This window comes from Homo sapiens, chromosome 10, assembly GCF_000001405.40.
Source record: "Homo sapiens chromosome 10, GRCh38.p14 Primary Assembly".
Taxonomy (NCBI): domain Eukaryota; kingdom Metazoa; phylum Chordata; class Mammalia; order Primates; family Hominidae; genus Homo; species Homo sapiens.
This window is the reverse complement of record NC_000010.11, coordinates 92,577,683-92,590,459: the sequence shown is the minus strand read 5'-3', so window position 1 is coordinate 92,590,459 and position 12,777 is coordinate 92,577,683.

The following is a 12,777-nucleotide window of genomic DNA, read 5'->3' as shown; positions in this document are numbered from 1 at the left end:
GGGTCCTCATGATCTGGCCCTTGTCCATACCACCAACTAAAGGCACTTTCCAAAAATCTCATTACCATGCTTCAGAGCTCCTAGCTTTTTCCTGTGGCCAGGCCCTTGTACCTGACGTACCCTCTGCCCTGAACTCTGTTTGGCTCTTTGCATGGCTTACCCATCTCATTCTTCAGCTCTCAGTTGAACTTTTTCTTTTAAAAACACCTCTTCTGACCACCCTATCTAAAGCACATTCTTCATAATTTTCTTTTTTTTTTTTTGAGACGGAGTCTTGTCCTGGTCCCCCATGCTGAAGTGCAGTGGCGGGATCTCGGCTCACCGCAACCTCCGCCTCCTGGGTTCAAGCAATTCTTGTGCCTCAGCCTCCTGAATAGGTGGGATTACAAGTGCCCCACCACGCCCGGCTAATTTTTTTTTATATTTTTAATAGAGACTCGGTTTCACCATGTTGGCCAGGCTAGTCTCGAACTCCTGGCCTCAAGTAATCTGCCCTCCTTGGCCTCCCAAAGTGCTGGAATTACAGATGTGAGCCACTGCACCTGGCCTTCCTCTTATAACCTTCTATCTCAGAACCCTGTCTATTTTCTTCATAACACTACAGGCAATATATTGTGTGTATTGACAATATATTATATTGTCAATATATTGTGTGTCTCCCTGGATAGAATGTAAGTTTCATTAGGGACCCTGTCTTTTTGTTCAGTATTATTTTCCCAGTGTCTTGAACAAGCCTTACACCAAAGTAAGGCTTTACTCAATAAATATATATTGAGTACCTGAAGGAAATTACTTCACCTCTATCAGCCTTGGTTTCCTTATCTGTAAAATGGAGATAATAATAATTACTATTATTGTGAGGATTAAAATAACATATAAAGTACCTGGGATACATATAAAGTACACTGGCTGGGCACGGTGGCTCATGCCTTTAATCCCAGCACTTTGGGAGGCCGAGATGGGCAGATCATAAGGTCAGGAATTCAAGACCAGTTTGGCCAATAAATATGGTAAAACCCCGTCTCTACTAAAAATACAAAAAAAATTAGCCAGGTGTGGTGGAGGGCGCCTATAGTCCCAGCTATTCAGGAGGCTGAAGCAGGAGAATCGCTTCAACCCAGGAGGTAGAGGTTGCAGTGAGCCGAGATGGCACCACTGGACTCCAGCCTGGGTGACAGAGCTAGACTCTGTCTCAAAAAAAAAAAAAATCCCCTTTTCTTTCTTTTTTTTTTTTTGAGTCAGGGTCTTGCTCTATCACCAAGGCTGGAGTACAATACACCATCACGGCTCACTGAAGCCTGGACCTCCTGGGCTCAAGGGATCCTCCCATCTCAGCCTCCTGAGTAGCTGGGACTATAGGCACAAGCCACCAGACCTGGCTAATTTTTTTTTCCTTTGGTAGATATGGGGGTCTCCCTATGCTGCCCAGGCTGGTCTTGAACTCCTGGTCTCAAGTAATCCTCCCACCTCAGCCTCCTAAACTGCTGGAATTATAGGCATAAGCTACCCTGCTGGGCCGTCTTTCCTTTCTCTTTAGCAAATATTCAAACAATATATATGTTAACAGTCACATGGGTTGACGCAAGAAATTCAAGAGTCTCCATTTGATAATAGATACAGCTACCATTTACCTAGGGTTTACTGTGAGTCAGACTCCATGCTAAAGGCTTTGTGTGTATCATCTCATTTAATCTTCAGAACAACTTTGTGAAGTAGGAACTATTATTTTCTACTATTTTATCAGTAAACTAGCCAAATAAGTTTGTCTGTAGTCATACAGCATATCACTGTACTTACACTTTAATCATAGTATAAGGTTAACTATTAGGGAAGGAACTTAGAATTCTTTCCCATTCCAACTCCCAGGTTCTTAACTACTGTCTTTCCCATTGAGTTTTTTTCATTTGCTAAGTGCACATGTATTCTTTTTTTTTTTTTTAATTGAGATGGAGTACTGCTGTGTCGCCAGGCTGGAGTACAGTGGCACAATCTTGGCTCACTGCAACCTCTGCCTCCCGGGTTCAAGCAATTCTCATGCCTCAGCCTCTGAATAGCTGGGTTTACAGGCACGCGCTACCACACCCAGCTAATTTTTGTATTTTTAGTAGAGACGAGGTTTCGCCATGTTGGCCAGGATGGTCTCGAACTCCTGACCTCGTGATCCACCCACCTCAGCCTCCCAAAGTGCTGAGATTACAGGCATGAGCCACCATGCCTGGTCACATCCACTTTTCTCATACTCTTCTTGAAATGCTTACTGTGGGCCTGGCAGTGAATATACAGGCTGAATTATTGTACTTGCCCTCAGGGCTAAGTCTAATAGAGATAGTTAGGGTCTAATGGCCCCATGTAAGTGTTTTGTTGCACTAAGCAGTCCCTGAAATGTCATTTTACATTGCCTTTGTTGAGTTCAAACTACTCAGCCTAATAATCAACATTTCTCGGCTGGGCACGGAGGCTTACGCCCGTAATCCCAGCACTTTGGGAGGCCAAGGCAGGTAGATCACCTGAGGTCAGGGGTTCGAGACCATCCTGGCCAACATGGCGAAACCCCATCTCTACTAAAAATACAAAAATTAGCTGGGTGTGATGGCACGTGACTGTAATCCCAGCTACTTGGGAGGCTGAGGCAGGAGAATCGCTTGAACCCTGGAGGTGGAGGTTGCAGTGAGCCAAGATCACACCATTGCACTCCAGCCTGGGCAACAGAGCGAGGTTCCATCTCAAAACAAACAAATTAGCTGGGGCCGGGTGTGGTGGCTCACACCTGTAATCCCAGCACTTTGGAAGGCCAAGATGGGCAGATCACCAGGTCAGGAGTTTGAGACCATCCTAGCCAATATGGTGAAACCTTGTCTCTACTAAAAATACAAAAAAAAAAAAAAAAAAATTTAGCATGGTGGCGTGTGCCAGTGGTCCCAGCTACTCGGGAGACTGAGGCAGGAGAATCACTTGAACTTGGGAGGCAGAGGCTGCAGTGAGCCGAGATCACGCCACTACACACCAGCCTGGCGACACAGCAAGACTCCGTCTCAATAATAATAATAATAATTTAAGTCTAGTTAAACTGAATTCTAACAATGCAACATCGTTGCCCACGTGTTTGCTCTGGCATTTCTCTTTCAGGAGTATATGTACTTCTCGAATAAACTATTTTAAATTGATTTTTATTTTTCTTAAAGAAAAACATGGAGGCTGGGCATGGCAGCTCATACCTGTAATACCAGGCAGGAGAACTGCCTGAACCTGGGAGGCAGAAGTTGCAGTGAGCCAAGAGCATGCCACTGCACTCCAGCCTGGGTGACAGAGTATGACTTTGTCTCAAAAAAAAAAAAAAGAAAGAAAGAAAGAAAGGAAAGAAAGGAAAAGAAAAGAAAAACGTGGAAATGTTTTATAAAGTTAAATAGTTCTAAAAGGCTTGTAACAACAACAACAAAAAAAGTATTTTCTCAGCCTTATTCCACACCAATGCCTCTAGACCTTTACCCCAGAAACAACCAACCACTTTAGTTGTTTTTGCTGGCATTTACACATTTCTATTTTCATAAGGAATTTGTATATACTGTTATTTGTATTTATTTATTTATTTATTATTTTTTTGAGACAGGGTCTCACTCTGTTGCCTAGGCTAGAGTGCAGTGGCTCTATCAGGTATCACTGCAGCCTCAACTGCTCCCATTGAAGCAATCCTATTGCCTCAGCCTCCTGAGTAGCTGGGGCCACAGGCACATGCCACTACACCTGGCAAATTTTTTTCTATTTTTTGTAGAGACAGGGTCTCACTTTGTTGTCCAGGCTGGTCTTGAACTCCTGGGCTCAAGTGATTCCCCCACCTTGGCCTCCCAAAGTGCTGGAATTACAGGCATGAGCCACCGCGCCTGGCCCTTGACCTCCTGGGTTCCAGCAGTCCACTTCCACCTCCTGAATAGCCTCAACTGCATCAGTTGAAGTGATCTTACTGCCTCAGCCTCATGAGTACCTGGGACTACAGGCACACACCACCACACCCAGTAATTTTTAAAGTTGTTCATAGACACAGGGTATTGCTTTGTTACCCAGGCTGGTCTCAAGCTGCTGGACTCAAGCAATCCTCCGCCTCAGCCTTCCAAAGTGCTAGGATTATAGGCATGAGCCACCCCTGTGCCAGACCTATACCGTTATCTTTTGATTAATCCATTTTAGACATTATTTATTGACATCTTATGGTAGGTGAGGTTTAGTTCTCAAACTTTACCATCCTCTCTGCATTTCCTTCTCTAATACCCAATATTACAATTTCTGGTTAAATCAATTATCTGTATTCAGGTCATTATGTCTGTTCATAGCTGAGCATTTCATTCTAGTGACTAGAAATTTTGCAATGAGGCGGGGTGTGGCGGCTCATGTCTGTAATCCCAGCACTTTGGGAGCCCGAGGCAGGTGGATCACCTGAAGTTGGGAGTTTGAGACCAGCCTGGCCAACATGGTGAAACCGTGTCTCTACTAAAAATATAAAAATTAGCTGGGCGTGGTGATGCACGTCTGTAATCCAAGCTACTTGGAGGCTGAGGCATGACAATCGCTTGAACCTGGGAGGTGGAGGTTACAGTGAGCCGAGATTGCACCACTGCACTCCAGCCTGGGTGACAGAGCAAGACTCCGTCTCAAAAAAAAAAAAAAAAAAAAAAAAAAAAAGAAAAGAAAAAAAGAAAGAAATCTTGCAGCTGGGCATGGTGGCTCACGCCTGTAATCCCAGCACTTTGGGAGGCTGAGGTGGGTGGATCACGAGGTCAGGAGTTCGAGACCAGCCTGGCCAATATGGTGAAACCCCATCTCTACTATAAATACAAAAATTAGCCGGGCATGGTGGCGCGTGCCTGTAGTCCCAGCTACTTGGGAGGCTGAGGCAGGAGAATCGCTTGAACCCGGGAGGTGGAGGTTGCAGTGAGCTGAGATCGTGCCACTGTACTCTAGCTGGGGCAACAGAGTGAGATGCTGTCTCAAAAAAAAACAAAAAACAAAAAAAAGAAATCTTGCAATGATGTGCCTTGGTGTGCATCTACTTTCTTTCTTTCTTTTTTTTTTTTTTGACACGGAGTCTCACACTGTCGCCCAGGCTGGGTGCAGTGGCGCAATCTTGGCTCACTGAAAGCTCCGCCTCCTGGGTTCACGCTATTCTCCTGCCTCAGCCTCCGGAGTAGCTGAGACTACAGGCGCCCGCCACCACGCCCGGCTAATTTTTTGTGTTTTTAGTAAAGACGGGGTTTCACCATGTTAACCAGGATGGTCTCGATCTCCTGACCTCATGGTCCGCCCGCCTTGGCCTCCCAAAGTGCTGGGATTACAGGTGTGAGCCACCATGCCCAGCCAATGTGTGCATCTACTTTCATTAATTGGGCTGAGCCACAGTCTGGCAAGTTGTTACCTTCAGTCTGGGAAATGTTTTTGAATTATTCATTGACTATTTCACTTGCCACGTCTGTTGTTTCTTTCTGGAACTCCTGTATAGAGATAGCAGATTTCTACCACCCAGCAATTACTACCATTAATATTTTGATGTATTTCTTTCCAGTTGTCTATTTGTATATTTTCAGTAATTGAGATCATAATTGAATATATAGGGTTTTTTTGGTCTTTCCCCCCCTTTTTATGGAGAACAGAGTCTCACTATGTTGCCCAGGCAGGTCTTGAACTCCTGGACTCAAACTATCGTGGACTCAAACTATCATTCTGCCTCTACCTCCTTAAGTGCTGGGATTACAGGGGTAAGCCACTATGCTCAACCTGGATATAGAATTTTGCATCCTGAATTTTTATTTAACGTAAGAATTCTTCCAAGACTCTCCAGACCTCATCTCTACAAAAAATGAAAATAGTCTCAGCCATGGTGGCACTCACCTGTGGTCCCAACTACTCGGGAGGCTGAGCTGGGAGGATCACTTGAGCCTGGGAGGTGAGGCTGCAGTGAGTCATTATCATACCAGTGCACTCCAGCCTGGGTGACAGAGCAAGATCTTATCTTGAAAAAAAAAATGGGGGCCAGGAGCGGTGGCTCGGGCCTGTAATCCCAGCACTTTGGGAGGCCGAGGCAGGTGGATCACGAGGTCAGGAGATCGAGACCATCCTGGCTAACACGGTGAAACCCCATCTCTACTAAAAGTACAAAAAAAATTAGCTGGGTGTGGTGGCGGGCGCCTGTAGTCCCAGCTACTTGGGAGGCTGAGGCAGGAGAATGGCATGAACCCGGGAGGCGGAGCTTGTAGTGAGCTGAGATTGCACCACTACACTCCAGCCTGGGTGACAGAGCAAGACTCCGTCTCAAAAAAAACAAAAAACAAAAACACCTTTAGCTGGTTTTAATTACTCAACAAATGTTTACTGAGCTTAGGTGCATACCCTGTGATAGTCACAAAAATGAATTTAAAAAGTCCTGCCCTGCCAGGCATGGTGGCTCACAGTTGTAATCCCAGCACTTTGGGAGGCCGAGGCTGGCAGATCGCCTGAGGTCGGGAGTTCAAGACCAGCCTGACCAACATGGAGAAACTCTGTCTCTACTAAAAATACAAAATTAACTGGGCATGGTGGCACATGCCTGTAATCTCAGTTACTTGGAAGGCTGAGGCGGGAGAACTGCTTGAATCTGGGAGGCAGAAGTTGCCGTGAGCCGAGATCATGGCATTGCACTCCAGCCTGGGCAACAAGAGCAAAACTCAGTCTCAGAAAAAACAAAAACAAAACAAACAAACAAAAAAACAGGCAGACAGGGTCTCACTCTGTCACCCAGGCTGGGGTGTAGTGGCATGATCTCGGCTCACTGCAGCCTTTGCCTCCCGGATTCAAGGGAGTCTTCTGCCTCAGTGTCCCAAGTAGCTAGGACTACAGGTGTGCACCACCAAACCCGGCTGCTTTTTGTATTTTTAGTTTTTTTTTTTTTTTTTTTTGAGACAGAGTTTTGCTCTTGTTGCCCAGGCTGGAGTGCAAGGGTGCAATCTCAGCTCACTGCAACCTCCACCTCCCAGGTTTAAGTGATTCTCCTGCCTCAGCCTTCCGAGTAGCTAGGATTACAGGCCTGCACCACCACACCCGGCTAATTTTGTATTTTTAGTAGAGACGGGGGTTTCTCCATGTTGGTCAGGCTGGTCTCGAACTCCTGATCTCAGGTGATCCGCCTGTCTCAGCTTCCCAAAGTGCTGGGATTACAGGTGTGAGCCACCGCGCCCAGCCGCTACTTTTTGTATTTTTAGTAGAGACGGGATTTTGCATTGTTGGCCAGTCTGGTCTCCAACTCCTGGCCTCAAGTGATCCAGCTGCCTCAGCCTCCCAAAGTGCTGGGATTACAGGTGTGAGCCACCACGCCTGGCCTTAACCTTTCATATTCATAATAAACAATAGATTAGGAGTGATGTCTTAGTCATTTTTGTATCCCACCTAGCAGCAAGCACAGTGCTTAGTAAACACTTCTCAAATGCATATTTGCTGAATCTGATCAAATCGGTGGATGTAACTACCATTTACAGGAAATATAAGAAACAAACATGTTAAGTCACATTGTAAGAATACAGTCAGCAGGCTGGGCACGCTGGCTCACGCCTGGAATCCCAGCACTTTGGGAGACTGAGGCGGGTGGATCGCTTGAGGTCAGGAGTTCAAGACCAGCCTGGGCAACGTGGTGAAACCCCGTCTCTACTAAAAAATACAAAAAAATTAGCCGAGCTTGGTGGTGCACGCCTGTAATCCCATCTACTCAGGAGGCTGAGGCAGGAGAATCACTTGAACCCAGGAGGCGGAGGTTATAGTGAGCCGAGGTCACTCCATTGCACTCCTCTTGTTGCTCCTGGGCAGCAAGAGCGAAACTCCATCTCAAAAAAATAAAAATAAAAAGAATACAGTCAGCAAAATTTAGAATGTTGGGAACACTATAGGATAAATGACTCAACTCCTTTGACAAATAAATTGCAAAATAAAAAAGAGGAGGGAGAGGCCAGGTGCAGTGGCTCACGCCTGTAATCCTAGCACTTTGGCAGGCCAAGGCAGATGGATCACCTGTCAGGAGTTTAAGACCAGCTTGACCAACATGGCGAAACCCCATCTCTACTAAAAAAATACAAAAATTGGCCAGGCGTGGTGGGTCATGCCTGTAATCCCAGCACTTTGGGAGGCCGAGCCGGATGGATTGTGTGGTCAGGAGATTGAGACCAGCCTGACCAATATGGTGAAACCCCATCTCTACTAAAAATACAAAAATTAGCCAGGCATAGTGGCATGCACTTGTAATCCCAGCTACTCAGGAGGCTGAGGCAGGAGAATCTCTTGAACACGGGAGGCAGAGGTTGCAGTGAGCCGACATTCTGCCACTGCACTCTAGCCTGGGTGACAGAGCAGGACTCCGTCTCAAACAAACAAACAAAATAAATAAATAAATAAATAAATAAATAAATAAAAGATTTAGAATTGACAAGCTATGGGCCAGGCACGGTGGCTCACGCCTATAATCCCAGCACTTTGGGAGGCCAAGGCAGGTGGATCACCTGAGGTCAGGAGATTGAGACCATCCTGGCTAACACAGTGAAAACCCCGTCTCTACTAAAAATACAAAAAATTAGCTGGGCATTGTGGCGCATGCCTGTAATCCCAGCTACTTGGGAGGTTGAGACAGAATTGCTTAAACCAGGGAATCGGAGGTTGCAGTGAGCCAAGATTGCACCACTGCACTCCAGCCTGCTGACAGAGTGAGACTTCATCTCAAAAAAAAAAGTAAACAAACAGGCCGGCGCGGTGGCTCATGTCTGTAATCCCAGAACTTTGGGAGGCTGAGGCAGGAGGATCATCTGAGGTCAGGAGTTCAAGACCAGCCTGACCAACATTGTGAAACCCGGTCTCTACTAAAAAAAAAAAAAAAAATTAGCAGGGCATGGTGGTGGGCCCCTGTAATCCAAGCTACTTGGGAGGCTGAGGCAGGAGAATCACTTAAACCTGAAAGGCAGAGGTTGCAGTGAGTTGAAATCACGCCACTGCACTCCAGCCTGGGCAACAGAGTGAGACTGTCTCAAAAAAAAAAAAAAAAAAAAAAAGAAAAGAAAGAAAAGAAAAGAAAGTGAACAAACAAAAATTATTCTAAAAAATATGGATAAATCTCACCAGATAGTTAAACAAAGCCAGACCCAAAAGAGTATATACTGTATGAGTGCATTTATATTAAACTGTAATCCAGGCAAAACTAATTTATTGTGTTAGAAGTCAGGTTAGTGTTTACCCTTGGGGTGACAGTGACTGAAACGGAGAATAAGGCAGAGCTTCTGGGTGTGTTTACAGGGATGTGTTCAGTTTTTGAAAATTCACTGAGCTGTACACTTATCACTTGTTTACTTTTCTGTTTGCAATACTTCAATAAACTCTTCAAAAAAGATCATCTTCAAAAGATACAAAACAAAATAAAAAAAGGAAACATATTAATTAAATGAAGTGTTTTGTTCTTGTTTGGATCCTGATTTGAACAAACCCATTGTGAAAAAGAAACATTTGAGGCAATCAGGAAAGTGGGAACACTCAGGAAAGTGGGAACACTGACTACATATTTGATTATATTAAATAATTATCTTAATGTTTTAAGTATGTTAGTGCCTGTGGATTTTCTTTAAGTCCTTTGAGACATATACTGAAATACTGAGATGAAATATTAATAATATGATGCCCGGTATTTGGTTCAGAATAATTTAGTGGAGGTTGAGGGAGTTGGAGGAAAAGATAGAACAATATTGGCCATGAACTGGTAATTATGGAAGCTGAATAATGAATGGATGCCTGGGGTATTTATTTATGGACATTGTTTGGCTGTGGAATTCTAAAATCGTATTTTTCAAAATGTTTTTATCCTAAATCACAAAATCTATGTTGACATTATTGGGCTATAGAATTCTAAAATCATATTTTGCCTGGAATAGTTATACTATTTTCTTTTATTTTGTTTATGTTTGACTACTTGTTCCATAATACAAAGTTTTCTCTTTTTTCTTTTTTTTTTTCTTTTTGAGACAGAGTTTCGCTCTTGTTGCTCAGGCTGGAGTGCAATGGCGCAATCTCAGCTCACTGCACTCTCCACCTCCCAGGTTTAAGCAATTCTCCTGCCTCAGCCTCCTGAGTAGCTGGGATTACAGGCATGCACCACCACACCTGGCTAATTTTGTGTTAATAGAGACGGGGCTTCTCCATGTTGGTCAGGCTGGTCTCCAACTCTCGACCTCAGGTGATCCACCTACCTCGGCCTCCCAAAGTGCTGGGATTACAGGCGTGAGCCACCATGCCCAGCTTTTTTTCTTTTTTTCTTTTTTTTAATGAGACAGAGTTTTGCTCTTGTTGCCCAGGCTGGAGTGCAATGGCATGATCTTGGCTCACTGCAACCTCTGCCTCCTGGGTTCAAGCAATTCTCCTGCCTCAGCCTCCTGGGTAGCTGGGACTACAAACGCCTGCCACTGTACCCGGCTAATTTTTTGTATTTTTAGTAGAGTCAGGGTTTCATCACATTGGCCAGGCTGGTCTCGAACTCCTGACCTTAGGTGAGCCATCCGCCTCAGCCTCCCCAAGTGCTGGGATTACAGGCGTGAGCCACCGTGCCCCTCCCAATAAAAAGTTTTAAAATGTATATTAGTTTTAAGTACAATACTATGGTAATAAAATACCTAAAAGCAACATGAATTTTTAAAAATGTTTTATAGATAAGTGATTAATTATAAATTTGTTTGTTAGGAGTTTTCCTAAATGACTCATCTTTGCTAGTCCTTAAAGGTAAATTTGAGTTACTTTATGGGCAGGATCTATAATTCGTATTTTCCACACACAGTTAAGACAACTCTTGATTTATGCATTCAACAAATATTATGGGCCCAGGGCTTGCTTTCAATGTTGAGGATACACCAGAGAAAAGAGCAACCAGGTTTCTATGCTTGTGGTATTTACATGTTAGTGAGAGAGATAAATGAGAAAATTAAGACACATAAAATAAGGCTGGGTGCGGTGGTTTTCATGCCTGTAATCCCAGCACTTTGGGAGGCCGAGGTGGGCAGATCACCTGAGGTCAGGGGTTCGAGACCAGCTTGGCCAACATGGTGAAACCCAGTCTCAACTAAAAATACAAAAAAATCAGCAGGGCGTGGTGGCTCATGCCTGTAGTCCTAGCTACTTGGGAGGCTGAGGCAGGAGAATCGCTTGAACCCGGGAGGCAGAGGTTGCAGTGAGCTGAGATCACTCCACTGCACTCCAGCCTGGGCCACAGAGGGAGACCCCGTTTTAAAAAGATAAAAAAGGCCGGGTGCAGTGGCTCATGCCTGTAACCCCAGCACTTCGGGAGGCTGCGGTGGGTGGATCACCTGAAGTCAGGAGTTTGAGACCAGCCTGGCCAACATGGTGAAACCCTGTCTCTACTAAAAATACAAAAATTAGCTGAGCGTGGTGGCAGGTGCCTATAATCCTAGCTACTCAGGAGGCTGAGGCAGGAGAATCGCTTGAACCTGGGAGGTAGAGGTTGCAGTGAGCCAAGACCACACCATTGCACTCCAGCCTGGGTGACAGAGTGAGACTCTGTCTCAATTAAAAAAAAAATGTCTTTTGAGACATTTTTCTTTTGAGAAAAAGAAAATTGATGGCTAAAACCAATGTTCCTCAGCTGTTCATTAAAGAATTGGCATTGCTCAAGAGCCTTAAAAAATAATACAAATAAAAATGATGTTTATGAAAAATGTTTAAGGTCTTGTAAGAATTGTTGTTTGAGACAGGGTCTGGCAGTCTTGCCCAGGCTGGAGTGCAGTGGCATGATTTTGGCTCACTGCAACTTCCACCTCCTGGGCTCAAGCCATCCTCACACCTCAACATCCAGAGTAGTTGGGACCGCAGGCATGCACCACCATGCCCGGCTAATTTTTTGTTTTGTTTTGATTTTATCTTTATTTTAAATAGAGATGAGGTCTATGTTGCCCAGGCTGGTCTCGAACTCCTAAGCTCAAGTGATCCTCCTGCTTTGGCCTCCCAAAGTGCTAGCATTACAGGCATGAGCTACTGCACCTGCTGCCTAATTTAGTTTTTATTTTTTTATATAGACAAGGCCTGACTATGTAGCCAAAGCTGGTCTTGAACTCCTGAGCTCAAGCACCCTCTCACCTCTGCCTCCCAAATTGTTGGGATTACAGGCATAAGCCACCGCGTCTGGCCCTAACTTTAAATTTTCCTTTGTTATTAACTACCTAGGTATGCTTTCTCTTTAGCTATTTGTACAAAATTTTGAGTTGGTGGATTCAGAATTCAGATTTTGATTTTGAATATATAACAATAGGCTAGATTAGTTCAAAAGACATTTTTTTTTTTTGAGATGGAGTTTCACTCGTTGTCCAGGCTGGAGTGCAATGGCTTCATCTCGGCTCACCGCAACCTCCGCCTCCCGGGTTCAAGCAATTCTCCCGCCTCAGCCTTCCGAGTGCTGGGATTACAGGCATGCGCCACCATGTCCAGTTAATTTTGTATTTTTAGTAGAGACGGGTTTTCTCCCTGTTGGTCAGGCTGGTCTCGAACTCCCAACCTCAGGTGATCCGCCCACTTTGGCCTCCCAAAGTGCTGGGATTACAGGCGTGAGTCACTGTGCCCAGTCTCAAAAGACATTTTAAGTTTTATTTTCGAGACAGGGTCTCACTCTGTAACCTAGGCCGGAGTGCAGTGGCACGATCTCAGCTCACTGCAACCTCTGCCTCCCAGGTTCAAGCGATTCTTGTGCCTCAGCCTCCCAAGTAGCTGGGACACAGGTGCACACCATCA